Source organism: Homo sapiens, chromosome 1 (genome assembly GCF_000001405.40).
Source record: "Homo sapiens chromosome 1, GRCh38.p14 Primary Assembly".
Taxonomy (NCBI): Eukaryota; Metazoa; Chordata; class Mammalia; order Primates; family Hominidae; genus Homo; species Homo sapiens.
In genome coordinates, this window is record NC_000001.11 from 9994875 (window position 1) to 10016330 (window position 21456).

At 48.5% G+C, this 21456-nt stretch overlaps 3 protein-coding genes across 4 annotated transcripts in view, besides 2 other annotated features; 2 read left to right on the plus strand and 1 right to left on the minus strand.

The window, feature by feature from the left end:
* Positions 1–2018, plus strand: part of NMNAT1 (nicotinamide nucleotide adenylyltransferase 1) — a 53970-nt gene extending 51952 nt beyond the window's left edge. The window contains exon 5 of the mRNA XM_017002108.3: positions 1837–2018. Within this exon, the coding sequence (XP_016857597.1) occupies positions 1837–1850 (14 nt within the window). The 3' untranslated portion in view covers positions 1851–2018. The remainder of the gene's footprint in view (positions 1–1836) is intronic.
* On the minus strand, positions 1845–3215 carry LOC124903840 (basic salivary proline-rich protein 2-like). Its single transcript, XM_047436754.1, has 2 exons — positions 2808–3215; positions 1845–1978 (listed from the first exon to the last, which is right to left on the minus strand). Exons 1-2 carry the CDS (start codon positions 3154–3156, stop codon positions 1845–1847), a joined length of 483 nt encoding a protein of 160 aa, XP_047292710.1. The 5' UTR covers positions 3157–3215.
* RBP7 (retinol binding protein 7) lies at positions 2354–21147 on the plus strand. 2 transcript variants are annotated; one of them, NR_138250.2, is made up of 5 exons: positions 2354–2457; positions 9219–9433; positions 12696–12874; positions 13299–13400; positions 20908–21147. NR_138250.2 is itself a non-coding variant. In NM_052960.3 (4 exons), the coding sequence occupies exons 1-4, from the start codon at positions 2385–2387 to the stop codon at positions 20956–20958; spliced, it is 405 nt and encodes a 134-aa protein (NP_443192.1). In that variant the 5' UTR covers positions 2354–2384; the 3' UTR covers positions 20959–21147. The 2 variants fall into 2 exon arrangements, 1 of the variants encoding a protein (NP_443192.1); NM_052960.3 differs by lacking the exon at positions 9219–9433.
* Positions 4103–4303: a silencer, noted in NCBI's record as "peak62 fragment used in MPRA reporter construct". NCBI's record gives its function as "represses an SCP1 promoter by STARR-seq MPRAs in K562 erythroleukemia cells {active_cell/tissue: K562}" and the evidence as "EXISTENCE:reporter gene assay evidence [ECO:0000049][PMID:32103011]".
* Positions 12423–12623: a silencer, noted in NCBI's record as "peak63 fragment used in MPRA reporter construct". NCBI's record gives its function as "represses an SCP1 promoter by STARR-seq MPRAs in K562 erythroleukemia cells {active_cell/tissue: K562}" and the evidence as "EXISTENCE:reporter gene assay evidence [ECO:0000049][PMID:32103011]".
* Positions 21148–21456: the final 309 nt, after the last annotated feature.

Consider the following 21456-nt stretch of genomic DNA (forward strand, 5'->3'; position numbering starts at 1 on the left):
GTGCTGGGATTACAGGCTTGAGCCACTGCGCCTGTCCAATTTTTTGTATTTTTAGTAGAGATGGGGTTTCACCATGTTGACCAGGCTGGTCTCAAACTCCTGACCTCAGGTGATCCACCCACCTCGGTCTCCCAAAGTGCTGGGATTACAGGTGTGAGCTACCATGCACGGACTGCTAGCTTTTATTATATTTGAGTCTGGAACTCATGGGAGAGGTCATAAATTGACATATAAATCTTGAGCTGGACACAGTGGCTTACACCTGTAATCCCAGCACTTTGGGAGGCCAAGGTTGGAGGGTTGCTTGAGCCTAGGAGTTTGAGACCAACCGCCGGCAACACAGGGATACTCCATCTCTATAAAAAATTAAAAAAATTAGTCAGGCATGGTGGCACATGCCTGTAGTTGTAGCTACTTAGAAGGCTGAGGCAGGAAGATCACTTGAACTCAGGAGGTTGAGGCTACAGTGAACCATGATCATACCACTGCACTCCAGCCTAGGCAACAGAGCAAGACTCTATCTCAAAAAATAGTCAGTCTGGGTGTGGTGGCTCATGCCTGTAATTCCAGCACTTTGGGAAGCTTAGGTGGGTGGATCTTTTAAGGTTGGGAGTTCGAGACCTACCTGGCCAACATGGTGAAACTCCACCTCTTCTAAAATATATAAAAATTAGCCAGGCATGGTGGCAGGTACCTGTAATCCCAGCTACTCAGGAGGCTGAGGCAGGAGAGTTGCTTGAACCCAAGAGGCGGAGGTTGCAGTGAGCCAAGATTGCACCATTGCACTCCAGCCTAGGCGACAGAGTGAGAGTCTGTCTCAAAAAATAAAATAGAATAAAATAAAATAAAAAGAATAAATGAAAAAATAAATACCGCGGGTGCGGTGGCTCACACCTATAATCCCAGCACTTTGGGAGGCTGAGGCAGGCGAATCACGAGGTCAGGAGCTCAAGACCAGCCTAGCCAACATGATGAAACCCCCATCTCCACTAAAAATACAAAAAATTAGTTGGGCATGGTGATGGGCACCTGTGATCCCAGCTACTCGGGAGGCTGAGGCAGGAGAATCACTTGAACCTGGGAGGCGGAGGTTGCAGTGAGCCGAGATGGAACCACTGCCCTCCAGCCCGGGGCGATAGAGTGAGACTCCCTCTCTGCCGGGCGCAGTGGCTCAGGCCTGTAATCCCAGCACTTTGGGAGGCCAAGGCGGGCGGATCACAAGGTCATGAGATCGAGACCATCCTGGCTAACACGGTGAAACCCCGTCTCTAATAAAAATATAAAAAGTTAGCCGGGCGTGTTGGCGGGCGCCTGTAGTCCCAGCTACTCGGGAGGCTGAGGCAGGAGAATGGCGTGAACCCCGGAGGCGGAGCTTGCAGTGAGCCGAGATCTCTCCACTGCACTCCAGCCTGGGCACAGAGCGAGACTCCGTCTCAAAAAAAAAAAAAAAAAGAAAAAAGAAAGAGTGAGACTCTGTCTCAAAAGAAAAAAAATAAAAATAAAATCAATAAGTCAGTCTTGGAGCCAGCATATCTAGGCGGTGTTTGTGGCTAATGTTGTAGGTTAGCCCATATTCCCACCCCTTCTCCTTTGCTTTTCTCTGCTCTGAGGCTAAATGCTGCAGACTAGAATCCCCAGGCCCCCTTGCAGTTAGAAGTGGCATTGATACAGTTTTGGCTAATGAAATGTACACAGAAACCTGCTGGGTAATTTCTTTTCTTTTTTCCAACTATCCAGACTTATAGGAGATGGGGAGGTTTGTGCTGCAGGGATACTGACCTTTGGTGCTTTCCCTCTTCCCTACCTTGAATGTGGATGTCCTGGCTGGGAACCCAGCTGCCAGCTCATGACCAGGAGGTAACAAGCAGGAATAAAAGGCCACCAGAGTCACAGAGACGAAGCTGCGGCGTTACCGAGGTGCGAATCACTGTGATTCCTAGGTGCGAATCATCACCAGCAATCACTTCTCTCAGGACTCCTTGTTAAGAAAAATAAACTCCTATTTATTGAGACCATGAGAGTTACGTTGAGAGGTATATTGTTATTGAAGCTGACAATATTCAATGCCATGAGTTTGAAGATCATCCCTGGGTCATTAACATATAAGCAGGGAAGAAAATGTGGCCCGAAACAGTCTGGGACATGAGAAAGCAGTAGGAGAGGAAGCCCCAAGGAAAGGGGGAAGCTGCCGCGCGGTGGGCAGAGCCAGGAGCACCGGGCTGAGGCGGCCGGGAGCGCAGCGGCTTCTAGGGGTGAGTGGGACCCACGCGGCCCCACCTGCTCCTCCCGCGCGCGGCCCCACCCCCCTGCCCCGCCCCGCCTGGTTTATAGGTCCCGGCCCGAGCCTCCGGCCGCCCGCCGGGTTTGTCCCGCGATCCCCGACCATGCCCGCCGACCTCAGCGGTACTTGGACCCTGCTCAGCAGCGACAACTTCGAGGGCTACATGCTGGCCCTAGGTAAGGCGGAGGGGAGGCGGCGGCGGCGCGAGGCTCGCCGTGGGTCTCGGGATCAGGCGAAGGCGGCCGGGCCGGGCCTGTAGGTACGTCCTCTGTCCGTGCCTCCGCCCTGCTGCGCCCACCGTCGCCCAGTCGCCCCCGAGTCCGCTGGTCCTTGGCGCCTCCGTCCATCGGGCGCGGGACCCCAGTCCTTCAGTCCCCCAGTCCGTCCTTTCCCGCGCCCACCCGCCCCCCTGTCCCCACGGCCGTCTCTCCACGCCCTCTGTTCCCCCGGCCGTCGGTCCCCCACCCGTCCGTCCCTGAGTGCCCGCGTCCAGCCCCACGTCCGTCTCTACCCGCACGCGGCACACCTGCGGAGACTGCAGACTCGGGGTCCGGCCGGGGAGGGGGGTCCGGCCGGGGAGGGGGCGCCCGGGACCGAAGCCTCTGCCCGGCCACCCTCCCCGCAGCCGCCTTCCGTGCAGGCCCCGGGGCCCCGGGCGCGCTCCCGCAGCGAAGTCCCAGCAGCCTCGGCGCACCCGGAGCGGGTCGGGGATGCAGAATCCTGGAGCCAGCGGACGACCCTTCAGGTCCGGGCACCCGCGGGAGTGCAGAGCCTGGTTCGGCCCGGGGCGTGCCCCGACCGCCGCCTCCCACGAGGGCTGGGTGCCCGCGGCGTTCTTGCTCCCGGGGGCCCCGCGCTGTGCTTCCCGCCCTCATCGCGGTGCCAACGGTGCGCGGACTCTCAACTCACTGCAACCTCCGCCTCCTCGGTTCAAGCGATTCTCCTGCCACAGCCTTCCAAGTAGCTGGGATTACACGCGTGCGCCAGCCACCACGTCCGGCTAATTTTGTACTTTTAGTAGAGAAGGGGTTTCACTATATTGGTCAGGCTGGTGTCCAACTCCTGACCTCAGGTGATCCACCCGCCTTGGCCTCCCAAAGTGCTGGGATTACAGGTGTGAGCCACGCGCCCTGCCACGAGTGTAGTTTTTCTTGTAGCTTTAGGAATCTGGGAAGTTGCCGTGCCGGCCAATCCCTGAACCCTTGACCCGTGGGCAATTTTTGTTTTCTTTTTTTCTTTCTTTCTTTCTTTCTTTTTTTTTTTTTTTTTTGAGACGGAGTCTCGCTCTGTTGCCCAGGCTGGAGTGCAGTAGTACGATCTCGGCTCACTGCAAGCTCCGCCTACCGGGTTCACGCCATTTTCCTGCCTCAGCCTCTCCGAGTAGCTGGGACTATAGGCGCCCGCCACCACGCCCAGCTAATTTTTGTATTTTTTAGTAGAAACGGGGTTTCACCATGTTGGCCAGGCTGGTCTCGAACATCTGCCCTCGTGATCTGCCCACCTTGGCCTCCCAAAGTGCTGGGATTACAGGCGTGAGGCACCGCACCGGCCAATTTTTGTTTTCTTAACCTTAGGGCCCATCTTAGTTGATAAAGGGGCATTTATTTTGCTCTTTCATATCCCAAGAGATAAGAGTGTTCCTCTGGGTATGGGAAAAGCACCTCTCACTTGAGAGTCTTATGATCTTCTTCAGAGGAAGAGCAGAGAATTCTTTTATGGCCTGCTTCAGGGAAGAGGGGCAAAAGAAGGTCTGAGGGGGACCTTCCTGCTACTGTTATTTCCTCAAATGCCAAGTGATATGGTTTGGCTGTGTCCCCACCCAAATCTCATGGGAGTTGTAGTTCCCATAATTCTCATGTGTTGTGGGAGGGACCTGAGGAGAGGTAATTGAATCATGGGGTAGTTTTCCCCACACTGTTCTGGTGGTAGTGAATGTCTCATGAGATTTGATGGTTTTACAAGGGGTTTCCCCTTTCATTTGGCTCTCATTCTCTCTTGCCTGCCACCATGTAAGACGTGCCTTTTGCCTTCTGCCATGATTTTGAGGCTTCCCCAGCCACGTGGAACTGCGGCAGTTAAACCTCTTTTTCTTTATAAGTTACCCACTCTTGCCAGGCTCGGTGGCTCACGCCTGTAATCCCAGCACTTTGGGAGGCTGAGGCGGGTGGATCAACTGAGGTCAGGAGTTCAAGACCAGCCTGGCCAACATGGTGAAACCCCGTCTCAACTAAAAATACCAAAAAGAAATTAGCTGGGCATGGTGGCGGGCGCCTGTAATCCCAGCTACTTTGGGAGGCTGAGGCAGGAGAATCACTTGAACCTAGGAGGCAGAGGTTGCAGTGAGCTGAGATGGTGCCATTGCACTCCAGCCTGGGCAACAAGAGTGAAACTCTGTCTAAAATAATAATAATAATAAGTTACCCACTCTTGGATATGTCTTTATCAGCAGCGTGAAAATGGACATAAGGTGCCATGTTCTGAGGTCGCCTATCCAGAAACCCTTAAATCCAGAACGGTTTTCTGAAAACCAGCAACTGTGTTTCAACTTCAGATCTAATTTGTTAAAGTACTAAGTACTTACATCAATTTGTTAAAGTGCTAAGTACTTAGGTCACACTTATAGCACTAGAGTGGTTGTTTACATAATACTGTAATACTCTTTTTTTTTTTTTTTTTTTTTTAGATGGAGTCTGGCTCTATTGCCTAGGCTGGAGTGCAGTGGCGCGATCTCGGTGTGAGCCACTGTGCCCAGCCATAATACTATAATACATTTTATCTTAAGAATTAAGTTGGTCTGGGTGCAGTGGCTCACACCTGTAATCCCAGCACTTTGGGATGCTGAGGCAGGTGGATCATGAGGTCAGGAGTTCAAGACCAGCCTGGCCAACATGGTGAAGCCCCACCTCTACTAAAAATACAAAAAATTAGCTGGGCATGATGGCATGCACCTGTAATCCCGCTACTTGTGAGGCTGAAGCAGGAGAATTGCTTGAACCCAGAAGGTGGAGGTTGCAGTGAGCCGAGATTGCGCCATTGCACTCTAGCCAGGGAGACAAAGCAAGACTCCATCTTGAAAAAAAATAATTAAGCTAGCAGACTGGGCAGGTGGCTCACGCCTATAATCCCAGCACTTTGGGAGGCCGAGGTGGGTGGATCACCTGAAGTCAGGAGTTTGAGACCAGCCTGGCCAACATGGTGAAATACCCCATCTCTACTAAAAGTACAAAAATTAGCTAGGCATGGTGGCTCATGCCTGTAGTCCCAGCTAATTGGGAGGCTGAGGCACGAGAATCGCTTGAACCTGAGAGGTGGAGGTTGCAGTGAGCCCAGATCACGACACTGCACTCTAGCCTGGGCAACAGCATGAGACTTGGTCTCAAAAAAAATAAGTCAATAAGACAAAAAAAAAAATTCAGCTAGCAATCTTGAATTTTACTGATTTACTTGAATATATAATTAACTTTAAATTTATATGCTTGTTCATGTACATGTAAGGAAAATACATTCCATAAAAAATCACAGATATAGTACTTAGATCTTTAAACTGTAGGGTCTAGGAAAATAATAAATGATCGCCTCTTTTTTTGTTGTTGTTGTTGAGATGGAGTCTCTCTCTGTTGCCCAGGCTAGAGTGCAGTGGTGCGATCTCGGCTCACTGCAACCTCTGCCTCCTGAGTTCAAGCAATTCTCCTGCTTCAGCCTCCTGAGTAGCTGGTATTACAGGTGCCCACCACCTCTCCTGGCTAATTTTTGTATTTTTAATAGAGACGGAGTTTTACCATCTTGGCCAGGCTGGTCTTGAACTCCTGACCTCGTGATCCACCCGCCTTGGCCTCCCAAAGTGCTGGGATTACAGGCGTGAGCTACCGTGCCTGGCTGATTGCCTCTTTTTTAGTAGTAGAAGTGAGGTAAATGCCTGTTGGCAGTGATGCTAAGGGTCAAATAAGTCACCAGCAAATACACAGCACACATCTCATGATGTGCTCCAGCTGGCATCTCATTTGAGGGCAGAAAATCACTCCCTTTTGTCTAAAAACTAGTGTTCAGGAACTGATCCTGCAGCTCCCACCCGGGCTCTGGCATCACTCTCTCCCAGCATTTGCCAAACCGCAGTGAGAAGAAAGGCAGCTTGTCTTTGCACAAAGAAGCAAGTTTACTTGGGTTTTTTGAGATAGGGTCTTGCTCTGTCGCTCAGGCTGTAGTGCAGTGGTGCGATCATGGCTCACTGCAGCCTTCACTTCCTGGGCTCAGGCGATCCTCCCACCTCAGCCTTCCAAGTAGCTGGGACAACAGGTGCATACCACCACACTTGGCCAATTTTTCAATTTTTTTGTAGAGACGGTGTCTTGCTGTGTTGTCCAGGCTGGTCTCAAACTCCTGGCCACATGCAATCCTCCTGCCTCTGCCTTGCTTGGGTTTTAATATTTGGAGCTAACCTGGGATTTGGGAGTTCCTGGTGTACCCCCACAGCAGCCAAGGACACTGAAGGTGCGTGCTTCAGAAATGGAGAAGCCCCATGTTAATGCCCACAGATATTGACTAACTTGTGCAAGTCCTCGCCTTTAGTCCTGTTATGAACCCAAGAAGGTGGTGGTGTTACTAACTTGTCCCAGATTACTGTGTACACTGGGATATATTTATTTAATTTAATTAGTTTATTTATTTATTTATTTATTTATTTATTTATTTTTGAGACAGAGTCTCCCTTTGTTGCCCAGTCTGGAGTGCAGTGGCACGGATCTTGGCTCACTGCAACTCCGTCTCCCGGGTTCAAGCAATTCTCCTGCCTCAGCCTCCCAAGTAGCTGGGATTACAGGCACACGCCCCCACACCCCGTTAATTTTATATTTTTAGTACAGACAGGGTTTCACCACGTTGGCCAGGCTGGTCTCGAACTCCTGAGCTCAGGTGACCTGCCTGCCTCGGCCTCCTAAAGTGCTGGGATTACAGGCATGAGCCACCACATCTGGCCCTACACTGGGATTTAAAGGGATCCCTTCTTGCCTTCAACCCACATTGCCTTGAGATTAGAAGTGGCTTTGAGATTGAAGGTTAATATAAACATCTGAAGCTTAGATAAATGTACGTTTGTGTGGACTCCTTTGAGATCCTACCTTCAGGTGTATATGCTCACACATTTGTAATAGCACGTGCATCAGGCTGTTCCCTCCTACTCGAATGTCTTATTTTCTATTTAACATAATCTAGTAGATGAAAAAGCATGGCTTGACCTGGGTAACAGCCTTATGAGGAATATGGCCTTTTGGACTGTTGGACTGTTGAGGTTCTAGTAAGTGTGGACCTGGCAGAAAGTGACCAGAACTTATGCTAATTTATTCATTTTATTTTATTTTTATTTTTTGAGATAGGATCTCACTCTGTTGCCCAGGCTGGAGTGTAGTGGCACCATCTTGGCTCATTGCAACCTCCTCCTTCTAGGCTCAAGCGATCCTCCCACCTCAGCCTCCCCAGCAGCCAGGACTGCAGGTGCACACCACCATGCCCAGCTAATTTTTATTTTATTTTTTGGTAGAGATGCGGTTTCACCATGTTGGCCAGGCTGGTCTTGAACTCCTGGCCTCAAGTGATCTGCCTGCCTCGGCTTCCCAAAGTGCTGGAATTACAGGCCTGAGCCACTGGACCTGGCCCAGAACTTATGCTAATTCAAAGTAAATTTTGGTATTTAAAGAGGCCAGCCTTGTAACTGCAAATCTGTGAAGTGACAATGTTGCAACATGGTAGTGAGGTAGGAGGCAGGGCTCAACTCCAGAAGCCAGAAGCGGGGCTTGGGACAGCGGACCAAACTGAGGACTAACTAAAACAGGGATAGGATGGAAGCAGCTTTTCATAAAACACATAAAACAGTGTGCCATATCAGTTTACCATTGCCATGGCAACACCTGGAGTTAGCACCCCTTTCCATGGCAATGACCAGAGGACCCAAAAGTTACTACCCCTTCCCTAGAAATGTCTGCATAAACCACCCGTTAGCCGGGCATGGTGGCTCACGCCTGTAATCCCAGCACTTTGGGAGGCTGAGGTGGGTGGATCACCTGAGGTCAGGAGTTCGAGACCAGCCTGGCCAACATGGTGAAACCCATCTCTACCAAAAATACAAAAATTAGCTGGGCGTGGTGGTGGGCACCTGTAGTCTCAGCTACTCAGGAGACTGAGGCAGGAGAATCATTTGAATCCGGAGGCAGAGGTTGCAGTGAGCCAAGATCGTGCTGCCATTGCACTCCAGCCTGGGTGACAAGAGCAAAACTCTGTCTGAATAAACAAACAAACAAACAAACAAAAACAAAAAAACCACCCCTTACTCTGCATGTAACTAGAAGTGGGTATAAATATGACTACAAAACTGCCCTGAGCTGCTACTTTCTGCCTATGGGGTAGCTCTTTTCTGCGGGAGCAGTCACAGAGCTGTGACACTGCTTCTTCAATAAAGCTGTTTTCTTCTCCCTCTGGCTTGCCCTTGAATTCTTTCCTGGGCAAAGCCAAGAACCTCTGCAGGCTAATCCCCGCTCTGGGGCTCACCTGCCCTACATGAGTAGTGCAAATTGTAAATTTGCTAACAACAAATTGCCTCACATATTTTATTTTATTTATTTATTTTTTGAGATGGATTCTTGCTCTGTCACCTAGGCTGGAGTGCAGTAGCGAGATTTCAGCTTGCTGCAACCTCCACCTCCCGGGTTCAAGAGATTCTCCTGCCTAAGCCTCCCGAGTAGCTGGGATTACAGGCACCCCCCACCACGCCTGACTAATTCTTGTATTTTTAGTAGAGATGGGGTTTTGCCATGTTGGCCAGGCTGGTCTCGAACTCCTGACCTCAGGTGATCTGCCCTCCTCAGCCTCCCAAAGTGTTAGGATTACAGGTGTGAACTACCACGCCTGGCCTGCCTCACAATTTTTTTTTTTTTTTTTTTTTTTTTAGATGGAGTTTTGCTCTTGTTGCCCAGGCTGGAGTGCAATGGCGGGATCTCGGCTCACCGCAACTTCCGTCTCCCCGGTTCAAACAATTCTCCTGCTTCAGCCTCCTGAGTAGCTGGGATTGCAGGCATGCCCCACCACGCCCAGCTAATTTTGTATTTTTAGTAGAGACGGGGTTTCTCCATATTGGTCAGGCTGGTCTCCAACTCCCGACCTCAGGTGATCGCCCACCTCTGCCTCCCAAAGTGCTGGGATTAAGGCATGAGCCACTGCGCCCAGCCAGATTGATGGATTGATTGATTTTGAGATGGAGTTTCCCTCTTGTTGCCCAGGCTGGAGTGCAATGGTGCAATCTCAACTCACCTCAACCTCTGCCTCCCAGGTTCAAGCGACTCTCCTGCCTCAGCCTCTGGAGTAGCTGGGATTACAGGCATGCGCCACCATGCCCGGCTAATTTTGTATTTTTAGTAGAGACGGGGTTTCTCCATATTGGTCAGGCTGGTCGCGTTGGTCTGCCCGCCTCGGCCTCCCGAAGTGCTGGGATTACAGGCATGAGCAACCGTGCCCGGCGCCTCACAGATTTTAAAAGCGTAACTCTAAACTCATTGTTAGTCTAAAGTTATTGGGTTTTGATTTGCTTACATAATAGGGTTTAAGGAAAGTCAGCAGTAAGTTTGGCTTGGTCATATTAATAATAGGAAATGAGCCTGAGTAACATGGTGAAACTTCATCTCTACCAAAGAAAAATTCAAAAATTAGCCAGGTGTGGTGGCACATGCCTGTAGCCCCAGCTACTTGGGAGGCTGAGGTGGGAAGATCTCTCGAGCCTGGGAAGCAAAGGCTGCAGTGAGCCGAGATTGCACCACTGCAGTCCAGCCTGGGCAACAGAATGAGACCCTGTCTCAAAAAAATAATAATAATAGGAAGTGATTTTAAGGTTTTGGTCTCAATACTTAAATATTTAAATATTGTTGAAAACCAGTAAAGCCTGGATCATATTGCATCTCAAACTAAAAACTGGAGTTCTAGATTTAAACACACACACACAAGCTTTTTTATTTGCAGCTGAGACTACAGGCATGTACCACTATGCCCAGCTGTTTTTTTGAGATATTTGTTTGTTTGTTCATTTGTTTGTTTTTGAGATGGAGTTTTACTCCGTCCCCAGGCTACAGTGCAGTGGCTCGACCTCAGCTCACTGCAACCTCCGCCTCCTGGGTTCAACTGATTCTCCTGCCTCAGCCCGACCCAGGTGTGAGCCACCATGCCCAGCCTCAGCTGTTTTTATTTTTTTATAGAAATGGGGTCTTGCTATGTTGTCCAGGCTGGTCTTGAACTCCTGGGCTCAAGTGATCCTCCCACCTTGGCCTCCAGAAGTGTTGGGATTACAGGTATGAGCCACTGTGCCTGGCTACAAAAATTTTTTCTTAGGATGAGGACATTTATACTATTGTTTTATTTTTGGTTGTTGTTGTTTGGGTTTTTTTTTTTTTGAGACGGAGTCTTGCTCTGTTGCCCAGGCTGGAGTGCAGTCGCACGATCTCGGCTCACTGCAGCCTCCACCTCCTGGGTTCAAGCAATTCTCCTGCCACAGTCTCCCGAGTAGCTGGGATTACAGGGGTGCACCACCATGCCCAGCTAATTTTTGTTTTTCAGTAGAGATGGGGTTTTGCCATGTTGCCCAGGCTGGTTTTGAACTCCTGACCTCAGGTGATCCACCTGCCTCTGCCTCCCAAAGTGCTGGGATTACAGGCATGAGCCACCACGGCTGGCAGAATCACGTCTCATCTCTAACTCCTCTCCTTCCTCCTCCCTCTCCCCGATTCTGCGGCAGATACACTAGGCTCCTCAGAGTTCCCGAAACACACTGGCACACCCTTCCTCAGAGTCCCAGGGCTCCCTGGATTTCTGCCTTAAACTATTTTCCCAGAAATCTGTGTGGCTTGATTCTTTACTTCTTTCAGCTCCCCGCTGAGACGTCACCTGGCCATTATTTAAAATAGTGGTGTTTATTTCTAGCTACATAATATGCTCAAAGGCAGTAAGTGGAACTGGGATTCCAAACCCTGATCTTCATCTTCTTAGCATTCCATGTTTCCCTGTGGAACTCTTCTTTAAAGCTTATTTAAGAATTCTAGCCGAGCAGGGTGGCTCATGTCTGTAATCCCAGCACTTTGGGAGGCTGAGGTGAGAGGATTGCTTGAGCCCAAGAGTTCGAGACCAACCTGGGCAACATAGTGAGACTTGATCTCTACAAAAAAATATTTAAAACATTTCCAGGCATGGTGGCATGTGCCTGTAGTCCCAGCTATTCGAGAGGCTGAGATAGGAGAATCACTTGAGCCTGAAAGGTTGAGGCTACAGTGAGCCATGATTGCACCACTGCACTTCAGCCTGGGTGACAGAATGAGATCCTGTCTCAAAAAAAGAAAAAAATTATAAATACATAGTAGTATATAGCTGGGTGTGGTGATGCAAGCCTGTAATTCCAGTTACTCAGGAGACTGAGGCAAGAGAATTGCTTGAACCCGGGAGTGGAGGTTGCAGTGAGCTGAAATCGTGCCACTGCTCTCCCCAACCTGGGCGACAGAGTGAGACTGTGTCTCGGAAAAAAAAAAAGAAAAAAAAAAGTATATACGTGTGTGTGTGTGTGTGTGTGTGTGTATATATATATATAGAGAGAGAGAGAGAGAGAGGTATATACATGAATCCAGTGGTTTTTGAGTTTTGTTTTCATTCTTGTTGAGAAACTGTTCAAATGCTCTCTTAATTCAAAGTGTAAATACATAAGGCAGAAAAAGGCAGAGTTATGACTGAGGCTGGGTTGGGGGGCCTAAGCCCTGTCCCTTTGGTTTTCTTTTTCTTTCTTTTTTTTTGAGATGGAGTCTCGCTCTGTTGCTCAGGCTGGAGTGCAGTGGTGTGATCTTGGCTCACTGCAACCTCCGCCTCCTGGGTTCAAGCAATTCTCCTACTTCAGCCTCCAAAGTAGCTGGGATTACAGGTATGTGCCACCATGCCCGGCTAATTTTGTATTTTTAGTAGAGATGGGGTTTCTACATGTTGATCAGGCTGGTCTCAAACTCCTGACCTCAGGTGATCCGCCCTCCTCAGCCTCCCAAAAGTGCTGGGATTACAGGTGTGAGCCACTGCACCTGGCCTACAGTTTTTATTTTTTTATAGAGACAGGGTCTTGCTATGTTGCCCAGGCTGGTCTCAAACTCCTAAGCTCAAACAATCCTCCTGTCTTCTGTGTCCCAAAGTGCTGGAATTACTGCACCTGGCATTTGCAAACTTTTTAATCAGGCTGTGGTTGGCAGTTTGCCAAGACGATTCCTTGTAGATCTGATTTTGGCAGCAAACAACATAGAAGTCGTACAGGAAATGCTAACAATTACATGTGGTGATTTTGAGAACAGCTACCAAATTCTTCACTTTTGTATCTCAAGCGAATGTTCAAATATTTTTAAAAATTATTTTTAAGGTATTGACTTTGCCACTCGTAAAATAGCCAAGTTGCTGAAGCCACAGAAAGTGATTGAGCAGAATGGGGATTCTTTTACCATCCACACGAACAGCAGCCTAAGGAACTACTTTGTGAAATTTAAAGTTGGAGAAGAATTTGATGAAGATAACAGAGGCCTGGACAACAGAAAATGCAAGGTAAAATGTAAAGAAATGCCAGGTGCGGTGGATTACGCTTGTAATCCTAACACTTTGGGAGGCCAACGCAGGCGGACCACCTGAGGTCAGTAGTTTGAGACCAGCCTGGGCAACACGGCAAAACCCTGTCTCTACAGAAAAAAATTCAAAAAGTAGGGGGGCGTGCTGGCAGGAGCCTGTAATCCCAGCTACTTAGGAGGCTGAGGCAGGAGAATCACTTGAACCCGGGAGGTGGAGGTTGGTTGCAGTAAGCCAAGATCGTGCCACTGCACTCCAGCCTGGGTGACAGAGTGGGACTCCATCTCAAAAAAAAAAAAAAGCAGTAAGTAGGCTGTTGATTTTGCAAGGGTAACTTGGCATTCTACTTCGTAACACTTGAGGATCCTGCCAGGACAAGCTAACATTTTCTCCTCTCTTCATGCAGAGTTTGGTTATCTGGGACAATGACAGGCTCACCTGTATCCAGAAGGGAGAAAAGAAGAACAGAGGCTGGACCCATTGGATCGAAGGAGACAAACTCCACCTGGTATCCACCACATTTTGTTCTTAATGAGATGATACAGTATTAAAGGAAACATCAGGCCAAGCGTGGTGGCTCACACCTGTAATCCCAGCATTTTAGGAGGCCGAGGTGGGTGTATCACTTGAGGTCAGGAGACTAGCCTGGCCAACATGGTGAAACCCCATCTCTACTATTTTTTTTTTTTTTTTGAGATGGAGTATCGCTGTGTCACCAGGCTGGAGTGCAGTGGCGCGATCTCGGCTCACTGCAACCTCCACCTCCTGGGTCCAAGCGATTCTCCTGCCTCAGCCTCCCGAGTAGCTGGGACTACAGGCACGCACCACCACACCCAGCTAATTTTTGTATTTTTAGTGGAGACGGGGTTTCACCATGTTGGCCAGGATGGTCTCGATCTCTTGACCTCATGATCCACCCGCCTCGGCCTCCCAAAGTGCTGGGATTACAGGCATGAGCCACCACCACACCTGGCCCATCTCTACTGAAAATACAAAAATTAGCCGGGCATAGTGGCGCATGCCTATACTCACTCTCATCTTATATTAAATGAAACAGCCGAATATTCCGACAGAGGCAGGAAGATAACATGCAAATACTCATGGAACAATTCTTACCTATTATATGTAATAGCTACTTTATGTATACATAGATATGCATAGATAGATATAGTAGCTCACATCTTTGGAGTGATTATTTTGGGCCCAATTACTGTGCTCAATCCTTTGAGTGCATTATCTCATCTAATCTTCACAACCCTGTGAAAAGGACGCCATTTTTCCCATTCACAAATAAATTGGGATTTTGAAATTCCCCAAGGCTGCTGTCAGAAGCATCAGAATCCAGTTTAAAAGGGTTTATTCAGACTGGGCGAGGTGGCTCACGCCTGTAATCCCAGCACTTTGGGAGGCTGACGTGGGCGGATCACGAGGTCAGGAGATCAAGATCATCCTGGCCAACATGGTGAAACCCCGTCTCTACTAAAAATACAAAAATTAGCTGGGCATGGTGGCACATGTCTGTAATCCCAGCTACTTGGGAGGCTGAGGCAGGAGAATTGCTAGAACCAGTTAGTCGGAGGTTGCAGTGAGCCAAGATCGCACCACTGCCCTACGGCCTGGTGACAGAGGCCGTTTCAAAAAAAAATAAAACAAAATAAGGGTTTATTCAGGCATGAAGATGAGAATGGCCACCCAGGAAACACAGACTCCAAAGAAATGGGGTCAGTACACCCAAGCTGAAAAGTTAATGTCTTATTTTTTTTTTTTTTTTGAGATGGAGTCTCTCCCTCTGTCACCCAGTGTCACCCACGCTGGAGTGCAGTGGTGTGATCTCAGCTCACTGCAACCTCTGCCTCCTGGGTTCAAGCGATCCTCCCACCTCAGCCTCCCGAGTAGCTGGGACTACAGGCATGCACCACCACACCCAGCTAGTTTTTGTATTTTTAGCAGAAACGGGATTTTACCATATTGGCCAGGCTGGTCTCGAACTCCTGACCTCAAGTGATCAGCCCACCTGGGCCTCCCAAAGTGTTGGGATTACAGGCGTGGCCGCTTGTAATAAAAATTTAATTTCTTGGAATGTAATTCTTGGAGTTTTTCTTTTCCTTTCTTTTTCTTTTTCTTCTTTTACTTTTAAGCTGTTGGACTTGAGGTGTTTTTCTTTAATGGCTTTATTGAGGTATACTTTATGTACCAAAAAATGCACCTGTTTTAAGTGTACAGTTTGATAATTTCTAGTAAATGTATACAGGTGTACAACCATTCCCATTATCCAGTTTCAGACAAGTCAATCACTCCAAAACATTCCCTAGAGGCCATGTGCTGACAACTATTATTTTACAGCCTGTTTTGTTTTGTTTTGTTTTTGAGATGGAGTCTTGCTCTGTTGCCCAGGCTGGAGTGCAGTGGCATGATCTCAGCTCGCTGCAAACTCTGCCTTCTGGGTTCAAGCAATTCTCCTGTCTCAGCCTCCCAAGTAGCTGAGACTACAGGTGCATGCCACGACACCTGGGTAATTTTTGTATTTTGAGTAGAGACAGGGTTTCACCATATTGGCCAGGCTGGTCTCAAACCCCTGACCTCAGGTGATCCACCCGCCTCTGCCTCCCAAAGTTCTGGGATTACAGGCGTGAGCCACTGTGCCTGGCCTGTTTTTGTTTGTGTTTTTGAGACAGAGTCTCCCTCTGTCATCCAGGCTTGAGTGCAGTGGCGCAATCTCGGCCCCCTGCAACCTCCACCTCCTGGGTTCAAGGGATTCTCCTGCCTCAGCCTCCCAAGTAGCTGGGATTACAGGCACCCGCCACCATGCCCAGCTAATTTTTTTTTTTTTTTTTTGAGACGGAGTTTCGCTCTTGTTGCCCAGGCTAGAGTACAATGGTGCGATCTCGGCTCACCACAACCTCCACCTCCCGGGTTCAACGATTTTCCTGCCTCAGCCTTCCCAAGTAGCTGGAATTACAGGCATGCACCACCACGCCTGGCTAATTTTGTATTTTCAGTAGAGACGGGGTTTCTCCATGTTGGTCAGGCTGGGCTTGAACTCCCGACCTCAGGTGATCCGCCCACCTCGGCCTCCCAAAGTGCTGGGATTATAGGTGTAAGCCAGCATGCCCGGCCATGCCCAGCTAATTTTTGCATTTTTAGTAGAGACATGGTTTTGCCATGTTGGCCAGGCTGGTCTCGAATTCCTGACCTCAGGTGATCTGCCCGCCTTGGCCTCCCAAAGTGCTGGGATTACAAGCGTGAGCCACCCGACAGACAGAAAACAAAGAAATTTCGCAGGATTACAACATTTTCTATACAAAGCTGTTTTATGAGTTACAGGAATTTGATTAGTTACCACTCAGTTTTTTCCTTTTTCTTTCCAGTTTAAAGAATATATTTAACATTCTTTATTTTATTTTTCTTCCCCCTCATTCTTGCTGTCATCTTAAGAGTATATTTAACATTCCATCTTAGACAACGTGATAGTCATCTGTCTTTGTATTAGAGAAGGAAGAGGTTCACCTGCTTTGGGAAAAAAAAAGAGAGAAGAAACAGGGAAGTGAGTCTGTAATTAAGATCAACAGTAGAGGGAAGTCTTCTCTGGTGCCCTTTAGTTTTTTACAAAACAGTGTAGGTAAAGAAAAAGGCTAATCTATAACCAGAGAAATTAAGGTTATAGCTGTCTAGGTTACAGCGGCCTTTCACATGACTCAGGTCCCACAATCACATTCCTTTAAGACTCAAAATAATTTAAAGTTTCATCAGCTTTGATTGTGAATTACGTATTTTCACACTGTAGGGTGAAGATTCAAATACAGGTCTGACAAGAATGTGTGCTCTCAGCTCTGTGCTTTTTTGCCTCACTGTATGTGTGAAATCTAGGTGAGACCCATGAGAACAAAACTAGAGCACTGTCCTTAAAGTTGGGTCTGGGTAGTCTTTGAATACCAAGGCCTTGAAGATATTTTGATTCTAGATGGACAAATCTCACACTCTTCTGACGATAAAAAAGTAAGAGGTCAGGCATGGGATTACGGGTTCACGCCTGTAATCCCAGCACTTTGGGAAGCTGAGGCAGGCGGATCACCTGAGGTCAGGAGTTCGAGACCAGCCTGGCCAACATGATGAAACCCCATCTCTACTATAAATACAAAAATTAGCTGGGCGGAGCCGGGCGCAGTGGCTCATGCCTGTAATCCCAGCACTTTGGGAGGCCAAGGTGGGTGGATCACTTGAGGTCGGGAGTTTGAGACCAGCCTGACCAACATGGAGAAACTCCCGTCTCTACTAAAAAATATTTAAAAAAAAAATCAGCTGAGAGTGGTGGCGCATGCCTCTAATGCCAGCTACTCAGGAGGCTGAGGCAGGAGAATCACTTGAACCTGGGAGGAGGAGGTTACGGTGAGCCGAGATTGCACCATTGCACTCCAGCCTGGGCAACAAGAGTGAAACTCCATCTCAAAAAAAAAAAAAAAAAAAAAATTAGCCGGGCTGTGGCAGGCACCTGTAATCCCAGCTACTCAGGAGGCTGAGGCATGAGAATCGCTTGAACCCGGGAGGCAGAGGTTGCAGTGAGCCAAGATCATGCCACTGCACTCCAGCCTGGGGGATACAGCAAGACTCTGTCTCCAAAAAAAAAAACAAAGTAAGAAACTTGCCTTCGCAAATACGTAATATGGAATTTCAAAGAATATATACATATGTTTGAGGATTTAGATTAGTTGGTTTGTAAGAGGTAATGTTCAAATTATGCACAACAGCTGGGTGTGGTGGTACTTGCCTGTAGTTCCAGTTACTGGATAGGCCAAAGCGGGAAGATTGCTTGAGCCCAGGAGTTTGAGTCAAGCCTGGGGAACGTAGGACTAGCCTGTCTTTAAAAAAAAAAAAAAAGAAAAGGAAGGCTGGGCATGGTGGCTCACACCTGTAATCCCAGCACTTTTGAGAGGCCGAGGCAGGTGGATCACCTGAGGTCAGGAGTTCGAGACCAGCCTGGCCAGCATGGCGAAACCCCGTCTCTATTAAAAATACAAAAATTAGCCTGGTGTGGTGGCAGGCACTTGTAATCCCAGCTACTCGGGAGGCTGAGGCAGGAGAATCACTTGAACCTGGGAGGAGGAGGTTGCAGTGAGCCAAGAGCCAAGATCGCGCCACGGCACTCCAGCCTGGATGACAAGAGTGAAACTGTCTCAAAAAAAAAAAAAAAAAAAAGAGAAATACCAAATGTGTACATCCTTCTCTAGCATACCCTGGAAATCTGCCCATGCAGGGCACAGAAGTACTTTTGTTCTAAGGATACTCATGGAATGCTTCTTACTTACCATGATTTTTTTTTTTTTTTTCAGACAGAGTCTCACTCTGTCGCCCATCCTGGAGTGCAGTAGCTTGATCTCAGCTCACTGTAACCTCCTCCTCCTGGGTTCAAGTGATTCTCCTGCCTCAGCCTCCCAAGTAGCTGGGATTACAGGCGCCCGCTACCATGCCCAGCTAATTTTTATATTTTTAGTACAGACAGGGTTTCACCATGCTGGTCAGGCTGGTCTCAAATTCCTGACCTCAGGTGATCCACCCCCCTCAGCCTCCCAAAGTGCTGGGATTACAGGCATGAGCCACCGCGCCCAGCCACCATGATATATTAAAAAATATTTGGTTGCTGGGTGTGGTGGTTCACTTCCGTAATCCCAGCACTTTGGGAGGACACGGCAAGAGGATCACTGGAGTCCAGGAGTTTAATACCAGCCTGGGCAGCATAGTGTGACTCTGTCTCTACAAAAAATTGGCTGGGGGCAGTGGCTCATACCTGTAATCCCAGAATTTTGGAAGGTCGGGGCAGGTGGATCATCTGACGTTAGGAGTTGGAAACTAGCCTGGCTAACATGGTGAAATGCTGTCTCTACTAAAAAATACAAAAATTAGCCGGGTGTGGTGGCGGGCACCTGTAGTCCCAGCTACTCAGGAGGCTGAGGCAGGATAATCACTTGAACCCAGGAGGTGGAGGTTGCAGTGAGCCGAGATCGCGCCATTGCACTCCAGCCCGGGCAACAAGAGCAAGACTCCGTCGCAAAAAATTAAAAAAAATTAGCTGGGCATGGTGATGGGTGCCTGTAGTCCCAGCTACTTGGGTGGCTGAGGTGGGAGGATTACTTAGGCCCAGGAAGTTGAGGCTAAGGTGAGCCATGACTGCACCACTGCATTCCAGCCTGGGCGAAGGAGTAAGACCCTGTCTCCAAATAAAAAAGGAGTAAGGCCTTGTCTCCAAATAAAAAAAAAGATCTTTTGTGTGTTAACGACATGACTGTCTACTGAGGGTCCTTAGATAGCTTCAGGATGGGGGATGGTCACCAGAAAATCGAAGGCATGATTAGAGGGTTGGAACTTTCAGCCTCATCCCTGAGGGAAGAGGGGCTGGAGATTGAACTAATCACAAATAGCCATTGACTTAATCAGTCATGCCTATGTGCTGAAACATCCACTAAAAACTAAACCACGGGGTTTAGAGAGCTTCCATGTTGAACGGTGAACATTCATGTGTGTGGTGAATACATTGAGGTGCTGGGAGGGCTGTGTGCTCCCCCTTCCTACTTTGCCCTATGCGTCTCTTCCATCAGGCTGTTTCTTTTCTTTTCTTTTCTTTCTTTTTTCTTTTTTTTTTTTTGAGATGGAGTCTTGCTCTGTTGCCCAGGCTGGAGTGCAGTGGCGCAATCTTGGCTCACTGCAACCTCCGCCTCTTGGGTTCAAGCAATTCTCCTGTCTCAAGTGTCCTGAGTAGGTGGGATTACAGGCATGCACCACCACACCCGGCTAATTTTTGTATTTTTAGTACAGACAGGGTTTTGCCATGTTGGCCAGGCTGATCTAGAACTCCTGATCTCAGGCGATCTGCCCGCCTCGGCCACTCAAAGTGCTGGGATTACAGGCATGTGCGCCCGGCCCCATCAGGCTGTTTCTGAGTTGTTTATTTTATAATAAACTGGTAATAGTAAGTAAAGGGACTTTCTGAGTTTTGTGAGCCCTTCTAGCAAATTATCAAGCCCGAGGAGGGGTTGTGGGAAAACCTGATTTGTAGCTGGTCAGTCAGAAATATGGGAGGTCCCAAATTTGCGACAGGTGTCTGAAGCTGGGGGGAGTCTCGTGAGACTGCATCCTTAACCTATGCAGTCTGTGCTAACTCTGGGTAGTTAGTGCCCAAATTAAATTGGCTTACTGGACACTTGGTTGGTGTCAGAGAGTTGGAGAAGTGGGACTGGAAAAGACATCACACAACTGGTGTCAGGCGTTTAAAAACCCACACCTTTGGTGTCAGAAGTGTTGAGAGTAGGCCAGGTGTGGTGGCTTATAACTATAATCCTAGCACTTTCGGAGGGCAAGGCAGGAAAATCATTTGAGGCTAGGAGTTCAAGACCAGCCTAGGGGTCAGGCGCAGTAGCTCATGCTTGTAATCCCAGCACTTTGGGAGGCTGAGGCGGGCAGATCATGAGGTCAGGAGTTCAAGAACAGCCTGGCCAACATGGTGAAACCCCGTCGCTACTAAAAATACAAAAATTAGCAGAGCATGGTGGCACACACCTGTAATCCTAGCTACTCAGGAGGCCGAGGCAGAAGAATTGCTTGAAGGCAATTCCGCTTAAAGGCAGAGGTTGCAGTGAGCCAAGATTGCACCACTGCACTCCAGCCTGGGCTACAGAGTGAGACTCCATCTCAAAAAAAAAAAAAAAAAGACCAGCCTAGGCAGTGGCAACCCTGTCCCTACAAAAAACACAAAAATTAGCCGGGCATGATGGCACGTGCCTGCAGTGTCCCAGCTACTTTGGGGGCTGAGGTGGGAGGATCGCTTGAGCCTGGGAGGCAGAGGTTACAGTGAGCCGAGATCTCACCACTGTACTTAGCCAGGACGACAGAGTGAGACCCCATCTCATAAAAGAAAAAAACATGTTCCAGAAAAGGGTTAAAACACAATAAAAAATAAGTGTTGAGAGTAAAAACAGACCACATGCAAACTGATCCTTCTTTTTCCCTTCCTCCTTACGCCCTAGGAAATGTTCTGTGAAGGTCAAGTGTGCAAACAGACATTCCAGAGAGCCTGATCCACATCCAGCAGCAGAGCCCACTTGTGGCTGCAGCTTTATGCCAAATTATATTGCAGACTGAACAGACGTTTATCTATCCCATTTGGCGACGAGGACTCGTGGCTGGAGAGAGCCACACAGCGTGTAACCTGAAGTCATCTAGATTATGGGGAAACTGCTCAGCTTCAATAAACCTGTCCAAATGACTCTGAAGTTTTTCCTTTCCGATTTAGGAAATCCCAGCATTTAAAAAAATATTTGAAAGTCTTCTAGGCACATGAGAGACACACCAGTGAACAAGCTGTCAGTCCTGCCTTCAAGGCTAGTGAGGAAGCTGGCCAAAACAAGCAACCTGAACAGCCACCAGAGCTCTGGGGGTGGGGGGCAGATGACTTTGAGGGATGGGCAGATGGTGATATTGACAGGGGTCTGGGATGGTGATTTTGTTTCTTTTCTTTTCTTTTCTTTTCTTTTTTTTTGAGACAGAGTCCTGCTCTGTCACCCAGGCTAGAGTGC

Excerpts from the sequence above, each read along its gene's own strand:
- RBP7 (NM_052960.3), top strand. The coding sequence starts at position 2,385 with ATGCCCGCCGACCTCAGCGGTACTTGGACCCTGCTCAGCAGCGACAAC. Across the intron at positions 2,458-12,695 it reads GGGCTACATGCTGGCCCTAG|GTATTGACTTTGCCACTCGT; the intron begins GTAAGGCGGAGG and ends ATTATTTTTAAG. Across the intron at positions 12,875-13,298 it reads TGGACAACAGAAAATGCAAG|AGTTTGGTTATCTGGGACAA; the intron begins GTAAAATGTAAA and ends CTCTTCATGCAG.
- LOC124903840 (XM_047436754.1), bottom strand. The coding sequence starts at position 3,156 with ATGAGGGCGGGAAGCACAGCGCGGGGCCCCCGGGAGCAAGAACGCCGC. Across the intron at positions 1,979-2,807 it reads CGAGTCTGCAGTCTCCGCAG|GAGTCCTGAGAGAAGTGATT; the intron begins GTGTGCCGCGTG and ends TTTCTTAACAAG.